The following is a 14,674-nucleotide window of genomic DNA, read 5'->3' as shown; positions in this document are numbered from 1 at the left end:
TTTACAGGTGTAAACATCTGGTTTTATACCCAAATAACAAACTTAACAGCAGTAAAACAAATGGTTTATTACTGCATATGTTATATTAAATTTACACAATGATATATAAAAACACATACTGTTTATATTATATAGTAATTTAACATCAACAGGAGTATCAACACAAGTACTACTCATGCACAAAACATGCATATATTGGTATACAAAAAGCAATTTTACACAATACTGTTTACCAAAAATTTTTTCTTAAAAAACAGCCCTTCCACATAGGATCAAAGGTCCAATCTGGACTGGATTGCACTAATATGTTCAGGTCAACGCTTCGGTGGCATAGCGCTCAGTGAGCAATTCTGGGATTGGAGTCATGCCCAAGGGTTACTTCATTAATAGTGAATGTCTCTGTGCCCAAGGACCAAAATTTTATCCCAAAACTAAATCCTCCAAGGAATGAAAGGTTGGACTGGCTACAAATTAGGGAGGGAAAAGAAGGCATCTAAATGTTGGATAAACGGCCCTAGAAGGGGTTATTAGGAACAGGGCCTAGGCACCAAGTGTGGCAAAAGTTTTTGTGAATCCTTTTAAGGTCCCTATCGAGGCTGCTATCTCTGGATTTAAGGTTTGGCCTCCAAGTCATGAGTCTAGTAACAGTTCTGAGAATAAAACCGAATGGGGATACATCTGAGAAATGTAGACTACATAAAAAAACTATAGAATACAATGACTGCCCCTCATACCTACTTCACACTATTGTATGTGGTGCCCCTCAACAGGAAAACCCTCATGGAGACACTGCCCTGAAGACTCAAGGAACAAATATAAATCCAAAAATTCCATCCACCTGACCTTGGGATCAAAAGATCTTATCCCAATAAAACTTGAACATCAAAACCTGTACCTTGCCGGATGCTCAGAAAGTTTAAAATAAAAAACAGCTGGTGCCACAAAACTCACTATCACCACCATTAAAACCTCAATATGTACTTCTAACTAGCAAAACATTCTTTACCTTCCATTAAAGGCACTAGCATCCATACGTGAAGATGAAACAATAATTTACCTTGGTTTTATATTTTTTTAAAAAGCATTCCATTAAAGTATTATACAAAAATGAAAACACCACCTTTTTAATTTTGGCAACTAGGGAGAAGAAAAAAAAACACACAAACTTTCTACACCAATGATGTCACTCAAACCGTCGTCATCAGTTTCAAAGAGCCAGACCGAAAGCGGAGGATCTTCTTCTTGAGGTTATGTGAGGCCTTAATTTTGACAAAGGTTTTTGCGGGGTGGTTGTGAAGGTCTGGGGCCGTTACCGTTTGAATGGGCAGAGTCTGGACAAACTGGGACCAAATTAAGCCCCCGCTTTCTTCAGAGTCGCTGGTGGTTGTGCTCTCCCCCACGAACTCGCCCTCGCTCACACTCGACTCGCTGTCCCCGAAGCAGTTGGTGGTGTAATTGCTCTGCTCGTCCTCACTGGTGTCCACCACGGTGGAGTGGAACAGGGACTCGCACTCGGCCGAGTACTCGGAGTCGCTAGCCACGTAGGCGTAGGGGCTGGCGTAGGGCAGAGGCACAGGCGCGGGGTACAGCCCCACATTCTCCCGGCGACCGCGCCGGGCCCTCCTCAGGGCCTCTTCGTAGGAAATCTCGGCCGAGGACTTCCACCGCCGGTAGTCAGTTCGCTTGTGCTTAGGTTTGGCCACCACCGCCTCCCGTCCGTGGCCATGCGCCCTGCTCCCCGCCCTGTGGCCCCCGCCCGCGGGCCTGCCGGGAACACCAGCCTCGGGCCCGCCCCCACTCTTCCTCCCCTTGGAGGAGGCTTTCTTGAGTTTCTTATTTGTATCCAAGTCATCTGGGAAGCGACACTTCTTGCTCCCGGCCCGCGTTTTCTCCCTGACGGTGGGCAAGCCGTTCTCCAGCCCCTGGAGGGCTGGGCCGCGGTGCTTCAGGCTGGAGTTCTTCACGACGCCCATGTTCCTGTGGCCCCGGTGGAGCCTGACACTGGGCTGCTGCCCCGGGATAAACTGGGCCTTGACCAGGTGCGCTTCCTCCAGGCTTTGGGAAGAGCCCTCGCTCTTGAAATCCAAGGCAGGCCTCTCTTCCACGGGGAAAGCTGTAGACAGCAGGGGAGGAGTGGCCGGGGGGACGCCCTGCAGGCTGTTTTTCTGTGACATCTTTTTCAGGGGCTGTACAACTTTGTTCTCCTGCGGCGGGGCAGGGCCTCTGCTAGGACTCTCTTTTGGAGAGGCCCCTGAGAGCTGAGCGCTTTCCTTAGGGGACTCCCCTGTCCCAATGGCGGAACACCGAGCATGTTCTTGCGAGGCTGGCTTGGCCGTTTTTGGCAGGTGCTTACTCTGAAGGTCGGAGGCAGCGCCTGAGGGGCAGCCCTCTGGCAGGGGCACCCTCTTGCTTTCGGCTTGTTCGGCCTTTGATTCTTTCGACCACTGCTTCGGTGGGGAGAATGTCCCATTGTTCAGAGAAGGTATCCCGCCAGAGGGCAGACACGCCTGTTTCGAATTCTTAAGGTTCACACTGTTGCCCTGTGAGACACCGCCCGGGGCTCTGACACAAACGCTCCCGTTCCTCAGAAGCCCTTTCGTGGGGTCAGCGTTCACGCTGGTTCTTGGTTTGTTGGTCCTTACAGGGTGTGTTTTTTTCTGGACCAGGCTCAGAATGTAGCCATCCATTTTCTTGCTGGATGAAGGATGGGAAGCAGACCACAGACTGCTTGGGGACGGTAAGGAACTGTCTGTTTTGACGGCATCTAGCTCAGATCCACCGCAAATGTCACTGGCATGGTTTCCAAGCCTGTCCTCTTCCCTCAGAGGGTTGCCCGTCAGACAAAGGAGAAACATTGGGCTCTGCACAGCCACAGCATGAAGTGGACTGGGATAGCGATATACATCATTCCCGTTTTTAGACACCAGATCACACTGGTACTTGGGATTCACATCTGCAATGACATCAAGGGAATTAAATTGTGGTGTGGAGAGGGAACGGCAAACTGCCCCTGAGGCCTGGTCTTCACAGTGGCCTTCTTTATATTCCAACAATCCTATGAGATCTGAAAAACAGTTAAAGGTACACTCTGAAGAAATGAATTGGTCAGCACCAGCTTGACTCTTTGGCCAATTTTTATGAAAAATCCATGGGTAAAAAGAGATTGCCAAGGATTAAAAAGTGCTGCCCTACCATTTCACATGTAGGTACTGCTACTGGATGAGGGGGAAATATTTAACAAAAATTTTTGACAGCATATGATATATCCTCTGAAGGAAAAAAATTCAGCCATTAAGAGTGTTTTCAAACTACTGCATAATAGAGGGAAAACACTTTAAAGTTTAGTGAAAATCATGATATAATACTAGAATATGATTATAATCTTATTAGGATCACATGTATGCAAAGAAAAAACATCTGAGATGAAGCACACCAAGATTCTAGTAGTAGTATTTCAGAATGATCAGAAGTAAGTGATATTTACTTTCTTCTTTATTTTCTGTTAAACTGTCTGTACTGCGTTTACAACTGGGAAACATTTTTTGAATCACTGTTTCTCTAGGCTGCTCTCCCCTCTGTTCTATTCCTGGCTTTCTTTAGGATAAACTGTACGTTCAGTAGGCTTTCTCCTCATTTTGTGTTTTTTTAAACCTAATTCTTAATGACATCCATTCAAATATAACTGTCAATTGAAAGGTGATGGAAACTGATCAAACTTCAGTAAAAACTGATCAGATTTAAATAATAATCGCCTTATGTTTTCAATAGTGATGCTAAAAAAATAAAACAGGGGCCAGGTATGATGGCTCACGCCTGCAATCCTAACACCAAAAGGCTGAGGCCAGAGGATCGCTTAGGCCCAGGAGTTCGAGACCAGCCTGGGCAACAGTGAGACTCCATCTCTCTACAACAAAATTTTTAATTTAAAAAAACTTTTTTAATATGATAAAGAATTCTTGATAAGATTTTAAAAGATTGAGTGGTAGTATTAATGGATAAATTTCCCACTTGTCAAAAATGTTTTTTTAATAGGATAAAGAATTCTTGGTAATATTTTAAAAGATCATGTGGTAATATTAATGGATAAATTTCCCATATCTTGAAAATGTAGATGCCAAAGTACAGCAAAATCAAGCTTGCTGTCTTAAAGGATTTTGATCTCTTAAGTTGGTGAATATTATAAATAACAAATCCATTTAATGACCTTCAGTTATCAGAGAAAATTAAAGTTGAGTTTATCAGTAATAATTTGTCCTCCATTGTATTTATTCATTCAAATACTGAGAACCTATATGTGCCTGATTCTATGTTGAGAAAGCTCCATAAACTTCAATGATAATTAGCGGTCTCAGGGAAAAAATAGTCTAGACCCAGAGATGATATGTAAAGAAAACATAATAAAACAAAAGTGCCATGTCCCCACCCACATGACCCCCCCCAATAAAGAGCTTGTTCTAAAAGGAAACCTCTCTAGCTAACATCCTTCCCCATCCTTCCTCTCCCAGCAACGTAAGCCCTATCTTTGCCTTACTTAAAGCCACACTGACAAACACTTCACTATTCATCCCTTTTCCCTCTTTAGAGTTGAACAAAACAGATATCCTAGCCCCCAAGGCCTGGTGCAACTGTCTCAATTATGTGAGGAAGTGGCATTTGGAAGAGCACGGGTCTGTCTTGAAGGAAAACCTAAACCAAAGTGCCTTTAATGGGTTTATAAAGTTTCCCTCTGAAACCAGATCTGTGGAATGAAGGGGAGCAATTACCAATGAACTTGAGGCCCAGACCCTCTAGATAACACAGTTCTGTGCTTCCTCAAATGATTGCTGCTGACAACACACAGATATGAAGACACCAGCCAATTAGCTCCCTCAGCTGCTCAGTGTTGTTTGCCTTGCCTGGACTCAAAAATTCAGGCTTATACCCAAGTGGAGAACACAGACAAACCAGGAGTGTGATGACTTGTGCCCAGGACCCAGAGCAATTCTAATCTTCATATTTTCTCTACTCTTATAAGAATTCACAATGTAACAGGACTAAGGAAGGAGTCTTGAGTTCCAGCAGCAACCCTGCCATTCAGCAGATGGAGAACCTCTGACAATTAGCTTATAAGCCAAAATTCCTCTTCTGTTAGATGAGAAGGTTGAAAACAACAATTTCTGAATTCCCTTGGGATGATGAAAAACGTGGACCTGGCAGTTAGGCCTGAGCTTAACTTCTGCCTCTGCCACTCACCATCTATAGAGCCTTAAATAACATATGTAACCTTACTAGGACTCATTTTTTTAATACATAAAATGGAGCTAACAAGACCTGTACTGTGCACGACTATTGGGAGGATTCATTGGAGATAAATACATACAGAGCATCCAGTAGTGTGTGACACATACTGGAAATGCAGAAACTCTTCTAGTACAATAGCATGATTCCTTCTGGGGGTCATTGCAAAGATATCCCAAAATAAGGAATAATGGCATGTGGGCACCCACTTAAAAGAAAAAACAAGCTGCCATCATGCAGAACATTCTGGAGAACATGAAAGGGCCATTGCTCCCTGAAGTGCCAACCAGTTCTTGGCCAGGCTGATGGACATATTTAACTTAATGTGAGTGTTAGACTGATTGATTGATTGAGATGGAGCCTCACTCTGTTGCCCAGGCTGGAGTGCAGTGGCACAATCTCGGCTCACTGCAACCTCCGCCTCTGGGGTTCAAGTGATTCTATTGCCTCAGCCTCTCAAGTAGCTGGGATTACAGGCACATGCTGCCACACCCGGCCGATTTTTGTGTTTTTAGTAGAGACAGGGTTTCATCATGTTGCCCAGGCTGGTCTTTTGTTTTTTGTTTTTTTTTTCTCTCTGCCGCCCAGGCTGGAGTACAGTGGTCCAATCTCGGCTCACTATGACCTCTACCTCCTGGGTTCAAGCAATTCTCCCTCAGCCTCCCGAGTAGCTGGGACTATAGGCATGTGCCACCATGCCCGGCTAATTTTTGTATTTTTAGTAGAGATGGGGTTTCACCATGTTGGCCAGGCTGGTCTTGAACTCCTGACCTCAAGTGATCCACCCACCTTGGCCTCCCAAAGTGCTAGGATTATAGTCATGAGCCACTGCACCGGGCCAACCCAGGCTGGTCTTGAACTCCTGACCTCAGGTGATCCAGCTGCCTAAGCCTCCCAAAGTGCTGGGATTACAGGTGTGAGCCACTGCACCTGGCTGAGTTTTAGCTTTACATAATTAAAAGAAGAAAACAGTTCCAAAATGAAAGAAAATACAGACAACCTAACAGCAAAGGCTCAGAAACAGAGCTCAAGACCTACAATATTGGGACAGGATTTCTAGAGATAAAGTGTCTTGCTGCTATCAAAATATATAACCAAGTAGCACCCAAAGGGTACTGGAATAGTTCTAGATACTCACCTAGATGAAACTGAGTTCTAGATGTAAGTATGGCACTAAATGCCGCAAAGTGATGAACCTTCATTTTTCCACCAGTGAAAGGTGCTGGAGCCAAATAACCTTTTAAGGGCCCTTGATGCCTTCCAATTAAAAATTTCTATCAGTGCTAAAAATTCTTACCTGCAGATTTGGGGCAACCATCTGAGAGACTCAAGGTCGCCTCCAAGGGGCTGCAAAAGCAGGTGCTGGAATGACAACTGGATAAACACTCACTGAACACCGAGTTAGAGGAATTGGAAAGGGATCCTGAAGCCCCATCACTCAGCTCATAAAACCCTACAAATAAAAACACCGTTGGAATTAACATCATGTCAAGAAATAATGCATATTCACGCTTAACAGGAAAATGAATAATCATTTAGGAAAAGGAGATTTTTTGTTTGTTTTTTGGCCAATTTTGATTCATTGGACTTTGGTGTCCTAATCTTATGGTCTTATTTCAAACAATCCTTAGGAAAAGGCAAAGAGCCCATAACTAGGGGTACATTTCAGAGTTACCCTCACCCTCAAATTGACCTTATTCCTTGACCCCGCCTTTGAACATGTCCAAGGAAAGAAACTTAGATCTGTCAAGCCTCATCTTTATCATGATTGTTTCAGAACAATAATAAGAGAAAAATCTAAGGAGCCCAAATGGTTTAAAAGAAAAAAAAAAAAAACTTTTGAAGTGGTCTCAGGAAGTTGAAGTGTGACTAATTTTCTAGCCCAGTTCTGACTTACTCAAGTTTCAAAGGAGGGCACCTCTTGCAGAAATTTGAATAGCTTTTATTTTTAAACTTGGGGGACTCCAATCACATTGATCTCATTACTAAAAATTTTGTTGTCTGAGTTTATTTCCCTCTTATTCCGATAAAACTGAATGGCAGACTTCTTTTTTGTTTATCCTCTCTGCACTGGAAACAAACTCCATTGCCATTTGCAGGTCTGGGAATGTTAACCACAAGGGGCTGAGATACAACTCAAGAGTGCAGAATTCTGTCCTTGTGCTCAATCACTCACCTGAGCTAGGCCGACTGTCTGTCTCCAGGTGCTCTTCAGATGTCTTTTCTACATCCAGTCTCAGGTCACTTATCTGCTTGTCAAGCTCTTGCAACTGATTCAACAAACCAGCATCTCTTCGCCTCAAACAGTTCTGATTAGGAAGAAACAAAGGAAACATGAACATACAGGGGTGACAAAAGAACCAGAAAGTCTACTCTAAGGATTCAAATTACCCATCTGAAGAGTTCACTAAACTTAGAAAACCAAAATTTTACTGGATGACCTGAAGTAACGAAAAACTTCGAGAATTCAAGAATATGTCCTATGTTTAATTCCACTTTCTCACATTTTGTGGTGATATAAAGTTTCTTCATAAAAACAAGACTTGTTTTTAGTTTCAACTAATATATACAAACTGACTTTTCATAGATAGGGACAAGAAAAATGGACTGAGACTTTAAATCATCTGGTGTATAACCAGTCTTTTAAAAAACAATACTTCACAGTAGACTCTTTAATTTGAAATGAGAGTAAGAGATTTCCTATAATACACTATAATCTTAGGTGAGATTTTCTGGCCAAATGTCTTGGCCTGCAGAGTTTTGTTTTCTATTAGTTGCTTTGTGGGGTTTAATCAGTCTTAGAGCCTTTGAAAGTGAGAAACTAATACTAATAGCCAGTGCCAAGTATAATGTGAGCTGGCAGAATCCAAAACCCTCATGGGAAGGCCCATCGAGATTTGAACGCCTCTGGGTTTCCAAAGGTGACAGATGGATTGTGCTAACTCACACTGCCACCTAGTGCTTCCTATTGCTGGAAAAACGGGAGAACTCAAAAAGCATCTGGTTCAAATCATGAATGCCAAGTCTACAAATGAAAATAGTACCATAAATACTGACTGGACTGGAATTCTCTTGACATACTGCTTTGCTCCCCTCAAGCGGACAATAGGAATGCGCCACTTACAATCTTGAGATTCATGCAGACAAAAAGGTGCAATTGCACAAAACAATAAAATGTAAAAGTCACCAGCCATAACCAGTGAGAACTGGCTCAAATGAATGTTACATAGGAATCTGGTCTGTGACCGAAGCAGCACAGTAAAATGCCAAAACAGAGATATTACACAAACCACAGTGTACATCCTTACAAAACACATGCATATGAATATCTACGCCTCTTGTCTTTTGACTTAAAAAGCTTGGAGACATAAATTGTATGTTTGTTTGCTACAATTAATTTCTTCAGGAAAAATGAACCTATCAAGTAAAAGCACTTTGGTGCTTAAAAACACACACACACACACAGAGAAAAGAAATGATCTGAAAAGAGATAATAGAAGAAAACACATGACAACTGCACAGCATCACCACTTTATTGTGGGAGGGCCACTACCTGGCATGTGTCTAGTTTAGATAGTATCACTTGGTCAGGTGAGGACGTTTGCTGTTTCCAAAACTACATTTTAAGGTCACTGAAAACAAAGCTGTCGCCATTATTCTGAGGCGGGGTCAAAAGCTGTTCATCAATACATTAAGCTACAAAGTTCTTTTTCTTCCCCATTAATGAAGACTGCATAGAAAGACTGAGACACTGACAGAAACCCAGTAAGATAAATGCTTACCGAGAGCAGGTTCTCTTTTCTCCCACCTCCACCACCAATCACAGCTGGCAGAACGTATAAAATATGAGAGGAGGGGACACAGTCTCCAGCCAAATTTCCATCATTTCCATCTAGTTTGAGCTGCCTTATACAAAGGGCTTCTATTTGAAATTAAGCACCAGCCTGGGTGAAAGCTGGCATGCTGGGGAGAGCTCTCGGAGAGGCACGGCTCCCTACAGGCGCTCCAGTGTAATCGTAAAACTCGGCCCTGGACAGTTAAGCACGCCACAAACCCCCTCCTTGGCTTTTGGCCCCTCTCGGCGGGAGGAGATAAAGTCAAGAAAACCTCCAAATAAAATGGTATTTTAAGTGGGAGTTTGCAAACCGCTGGGGAGAGGGCATATACTCATCTAACTAAGGAGACCGAACGTTAGAACTAGGCGACTCCAAGAATCCCGAAGGCAGAGGAGGAGGGAAGAGCGGCCACCCCCTTCCCGCAATCCGCGCGAGGTCGCCAGACACAAAGCGGGCACACGCCAGAAACGCGTGGGCGTCGGCAGCCCACACGCCGCGGGCACTCAGGAAGGGGATCAGGGAGGTATGGGGCGGTCGGGGGCGTCCCATAACAGCGAGCATCTCCCCAGCCAGAGTCAACCTCGCGCCCGCCCCAGGCCACCTGCCCGACCTCCAGCCCCTGGGCAGGAACAGCCGTGCTCCACCTTCGGGCACGACCTACCAATTGCTTTCTTAGCAGCAAGATGTTCTCCTCCAAGAACTTCTCCTCCAGGCGACTGCGCTGCGCCGCCTCCCCCAGTAGCTCCCCAGCGCGGGGCGCAGCGGCTCCCGCACCCCCGGCGCCGCGCAGGGCGCCCCTGACCAGCAGCTCTTGGCGCTGGCGCAGGTACTCCAGCTCCGCCAGCCCGGCCAGCGTGGCCTCCTGCCGCTCCCGGGTGCGCTGCCGCTCGGTGTCTGCCTCGCCCTTCTCCCGCCAGCGCCCCTCGGGCTCCGCCGTGCGCTGCTCGCCTCGGGCCGGCGCCGGAGGCTCCAGCTCCTTCGCCGTCCCGGCCGGACTCGGCTTCATGGCCCCCAGTCGGGCAGCGAGAGCCGTCACCGCAGCCGGGCCGCCCAGGCGGAGGAGCAGGGCGCTAGGGCTGCGGCCGCGGGTGGGCTCATGCCGCCCTGTGGCGGGGCGCGGCGCTGGCGGGGACGGTGGCTAGAAGCCCTCGAGTCCTGCGCGCGACCGCCGGCTGCTGCTGTCCCGGCCCGGGCAGCGCCGTCCGCTGTCGCCGCGCGTCCCTCGCCGCGGCCCGGCAGCTGATAACGCCCTGCCCGGCGCTACGTCACGCGCGGCGGCCCTGCAAACCCCCGCCTGGCGCCCGCCTCCCCGCGCCGGCCCCTCGGCTGCGACGCTTGCGCCCCCAGGCTTCCCCTCCTCTGTCAGGCGCGCCGCCCGGCCCCCAGAGCCGCCTCCTCCTCGCTCGGCCCTCCCCGCCCCTCCTCGCCCCTCCCCGCCTCCTCCCCCGCTCTCTTCGCGGGCCTCCTCGCCCCCTTTTCGGGTTTACTGCACCCGATTTTGCCCTCGCTCCTCATTGGCTCTTTCTCGTCGCCCAAAGCTCGGGGCGAGCGCCTGGAGCCCCAGCATCCTGTTACAGTCGGCCGCGCAGGCAGGGGCCGCGACGGGACGCGGCAGTTGGGCTCTCCGGAGAACTTTCTGAAACTCGACCAAGTTGCAGCACAGTCTTAACCCTTTCCCCACACGGCCACTCCTCATTTCCACTCACACCGAGTTAGGTTTCTTTCACTTCCCAAGCAAGGTATTGCAAGTGTATTCACAGACACTGTGGGGTTGGTTCCTTAACTCCACTTTGTAAAGGCAAGCAATACAGAGCACAATGCAGTGTTCTAAAACTTAAGTTTTGTTGTCGTTTTAATTTTTTAACGTCGGTCTTACGATGGACGGCATTTAAAATTAGGCAGGAGGATGTCGTTGTATAGCGAGAGGTTGCATCAATTCTTTTACAAGCCTACGATTTGAGTGCGCGCGCGTGCGCGCTTTGGTTTTTGTTTGAGCTTTTATTATTACTTAGTCTGCGTTTACAATAAGAGCTCTGACTCAGAAATCAGACTGTCTGGATTTGTATCCCAGTTTCACCCCTAAATAGCTGTGCGGGCAACTTACTCCCTTCTCTGTGTACGTTCCCCCCACTGTAAAAGGGAGCAGCTGCTATGGGAACCTGCTGTTGAAGAATTATAATAGTATGCAGCATATGCTATATATTGTGGGGGCTGTGCACTTACAACGTGGCTAGCACATAGATAGTAAAGGTGATATGAGTTGTAGCTTTTCTCCAGAGGGATTTATAAGTCTTCCCTCTTGAAGTATCATGTATTGGTCATCTCTGCTTGGAACACACTACTCCAGACCCCTATCCCACTGAAATTTCCGGTGGGATAGGGGTCTGAAAATTCCACTAGCTGGCTTATCTGTGGAAAAGTACCACATATATCTTTAAAAGCAGTACATCCAAGAACCTCGGAAATTCAATCCAGCAAGTCACAATTGCTGAAGTTCAGGCAAAGTGTTGTGTGAAAGAGTGCATCCTATATCATTATTTCAGACACTTGCACTTTTGCCCATCTGCTTACCCGTGCTAGGAATTCCTCTTCTTTCCTCCCCTCTCTGTGTGGTCTAACCACCCTTCCAACCTTTGAGCTCCAGTTAACTATATAAATATCTGATTCTGATCCCATGCTACCTGTATGGTTATTTATCTGGGTGTGCACACGCATATCTATCTACGTAGGTGTTTATGTGTATCTCTTCTCTCCATCTACATTATGAAAGCTTCCTGAAGGCAGGGACTGTTTTAATACCCTCTTAGTATCGCTGTATTCAGCACATTACCTTGCAAGCATTCACCTGACAATTGCTAGAGAGAGACTCGAGAATGTAGATTGGTTGTAAATTGTTTTTTCATTAGCATACTTTTAAACTTAATAGTACCCATTTAATCTCTACTACAAATAGAATTAAGTTGACATTTACCAAAAAACAAAAACAAAAGAACTCCCTTGCCACCTTTCACTTTCCTCCCCATTGCTGCCTCCCACAGACATGAAAGAACTACAAACTTGATTCATAATTAACAAGGTTGTATATTAGCTCTAAAAATGGAATTATGGTCAGGTGTTCATAAGCATACAAAATCGATTCTCTTCAGGTTATCTATTCTTTATGCCTGCTGTTGCCAAACACTACTTTATAATATAGGAACTAATTTTCCTCCCTAATTTTAGTAAGGCACGAAAGGATAGTGACTTATCCTGCTTGCCAAATGCCACTCACCCATGTCCTCTGTCATTGTTTCATTCTGCTCATTTCTAAACAAGCTTCTTGCTTTCCAGCTCTGAATTAGATTCCTCTGACTGGGTGGAGTCTATTATTGTGGCCTGTGTTATGTCACACATCGACAACTATATTTGTATAGTTGAGGGGGAAAAAAAGCTGAAACACATTTTTACACACTACTAATAAATCTTAAGTCAGGCAGACAAGCTCGCTATGTCTCCAAACCTCCCCACCCTCCCAACCCCCCTCCTCACCAAATGCCACTTTGAGCTGGCTCATTAGTCCAAAGCAAGCCATTTGCCGTAACAGCTTGTATATCTCCATGAAAAAGTGTTCTCAGCAAGTTTAAATATTAAAACTAATATATTCAGATGGTTCCGCCAATAAAATGGTCACGAATAGGAAAAAAGGTTATGCTTTCCAAAGTATCCATTACACATTAATAAATAATGCTGTTCATTCACATGCCAATTAAAACAAACTCAGGCTGTCAAATGAAGTTAGAAGCAAGGAGCTCAATGCTGTAATTGTTTTTCCAGGAAAACTCCCAATGTCATCAGATTAAGTGAGACAGGCTGGGTTGCCCCTATTCTCTTTTTAAGCTAGCAGCCAAATTTTCTCCCCTCCAGTCTAGTTGCCTGGATTTTCTTTCCTCTTTGATTCTTTGTTTTTGTTGCAGGTATTCCGGAAGCAGTTGAAAGTGATCGCCTACTGCTCCCTTCTGTTGCCAACGGAATCTCACTTCCCCCTACTGTTTTGATTTTTCTTTCCCTTTCTTTTTAAAGCAGGTGCTGGTACTTCTTCCTCCACTAGTGCTATTTCATTATCTCCTTTCTAATGTTGTTCAGCCCTAGTTGGTTCTTTTGCTTTCCCTGGACACGCCTGTCTGCTCAGAAAAACTGTTAATTGACACTCAGAAAGTGTACCACTAACGATGGGGTGGACCTGCTGCCTGGATGATCTGGAGAGTAAGATAAAGTTGCCAGCATGAAAAAGAGTCTTGGCTGAATATATTACAGTGGTGTTAACTTATGCTTGAAGATCTTTCCTGGGCAGAGCCAGAACATGTCCCTCATATCACACAGTCTGATGCTTTGTCCTTAGGCAGAACAGCTCCTAACAGCACCCCCACCAAAGTCTGAGCATCATTCTACAAATGCCTTGTCCAGCGGTGAACATTCTATTGCAGCCAAGCAAAGTAAGGGGCATCAGTTGCACATTTTGCCATCAAGCAAAGCAACAAAATGATGCCTTGCAGCTTTTATGGCCAAACAAACACAAATGATGTAATTGGGAAAAGCTGTCTCCGAATAGGAGGAAAAGAGTAAAGGGCAATCCTTTGAGCTGGAGAGATGACCACCATTCGAGGGTCTGGGATCAAAGCCCCAGCCAGACATCAAAGCCCATTTGAGTCTAATGCCAAAAAAGCCACAGTGAATTAAACTTCATATATAAACTAATTATAGCTTGACCCCACAATCAGGCTTCAGTGAGCACACAGGGGAAAGAAAGCAGACATTGAAACAAAAGATCAAGAAAAAAGAAGCGTGGTAGCAAAATGGGGCAACATCATGGCCCTGAAAATTTTAAACATCTTTTGAGGGCAGAAGGGAATAGGGGAATAGCAGAAGAAACAGCAAATGTTTGACAATGCTGGTCTTGTTTGAAAGGCTATGAAACAACTCCTTCCATCCTCTCTGGTGCACAACCAAACACTACCAAATAAACCATCCTACATGAAAAGGTTACCTTTTAGCTGTGTTTTAGTGCTGTTAAAGAGGTTTTTGTTGAAGAAGGCCAGGGTGATTCCATGAAGTTTGGTGGTAAGTTTTTCAAGAGGCTCCTGCTTCCTCCTGCAGAGCACTGTGGATTCCAAAGATTCTAGAATGTCTGGAAGTGAGTTGCATTCCCCACCGTCGTAATCACTGATTAAGGTGATTAAGTCTCCACCAGCCTCAGACTTTTGTCCCTTAGCTCTGCCATTTCTACCGGTCATCTTTACAGATGGAAGGTGCAGAGTTCCATGTGTGCAAATACCTAGAGCCACATACTGTGGTACTAATACAATGAAAGGATTTGATTTCAAAGCAAAATTTAAAAGTGTTTCAGAGACAAGTGGCTTTTTTTTTTTTTGAGACACGGTTTTACTCTATCACGCAGGCTGGAGTGCAGTGGCACGATCTCAGATCACTGCAGCCATGACTTCCTGGGTTCAAGTGATCCTCCTTCCTCAGCCTCTCAAGTTGCTAGGACTACAGGCTAATTTTTATATTTTTTGTAGAGATGG

The 14,674-nt window shown here is 45.4% G+C and overlaps 1 protein-coding gene across 7 annotated transcripts, besides 1 other annotated feature; it reads right to left on the bottom strand.

The window, feature by feature from the left end:
• DACT1 (dishevelled binding antagonist of beta catenin 1) lies at positions 1-14,261 on the bottom strand. 7 transcript variants are annotated; one of them, NR_165651.1, is made up of 5 exons: positions 9,060-9,485; positions 8,831-8,909; positions 7,454-7,586; positions 6,575-6,730; positions 1-2,953 (listed from the first exon to the last, which is right to left on the bottom strand). NR_165651.1 is itself a non-coding variant. In NM_016651.6 (4 exons), exons 1-4 carry the CDS (start codon positions 10,117-10,119, stop codon positions 1,188-1,190), a joined length of 2,511 nt encoding a protein of 836 aa, NP_057735.2. In that variant the 5' UTR covers positions 10,120-10,360; the 3' UTR covers positions 1-1,187. The 7 variants fall into 7 exon arrangements, 2 of the variants coding, with proteins under 2 accessions (NP_057735.2, NP_001072988.1); NR_165650.1 differs by lacking the exons at positions 8,831-8,909; positions 9,060-9,485 and adding an exon at positions 14,137-14,261 and having other exon boundaries at positions 1-3,064; NR_046093.2 differs by lacking the exons at positions 8,831-8,909; positions 9,060-9,485 and adding an exon at positions 14,137-14,261.
• Positions 9,860-10,569: a silencer, noted in NCBI's record as "silent region_5801". NCBI's record gives its function as "represses an Ori minimal core promoter by ATAC-STARR-seq in GM12878 lymphoblastoid cells {active_cell/tissue: GM12878}" and the evidence as "EXISTENCE:reporter gene assay evidence [ECO:0000049][PMID:35858748]".

The sequence above is a fragment of the Homo sapiens genome, chromosome 14, assembly GCF_000001405.40.
Source record: "Homo sapiens chromosome 14, GRCh38.p14 Primary Assembly".
NCBI classification, from domain to species: domain Eukaryota; kingdom Metazoa; phylum Chordata; class Mammalia; order Primates; family Hominidae; genus Homo; species Homo sapiens.
Note: the sequence above shows the minus strand (reverse complement) of the source record. Positions and strands in the feature narration are given on the sequence as shown.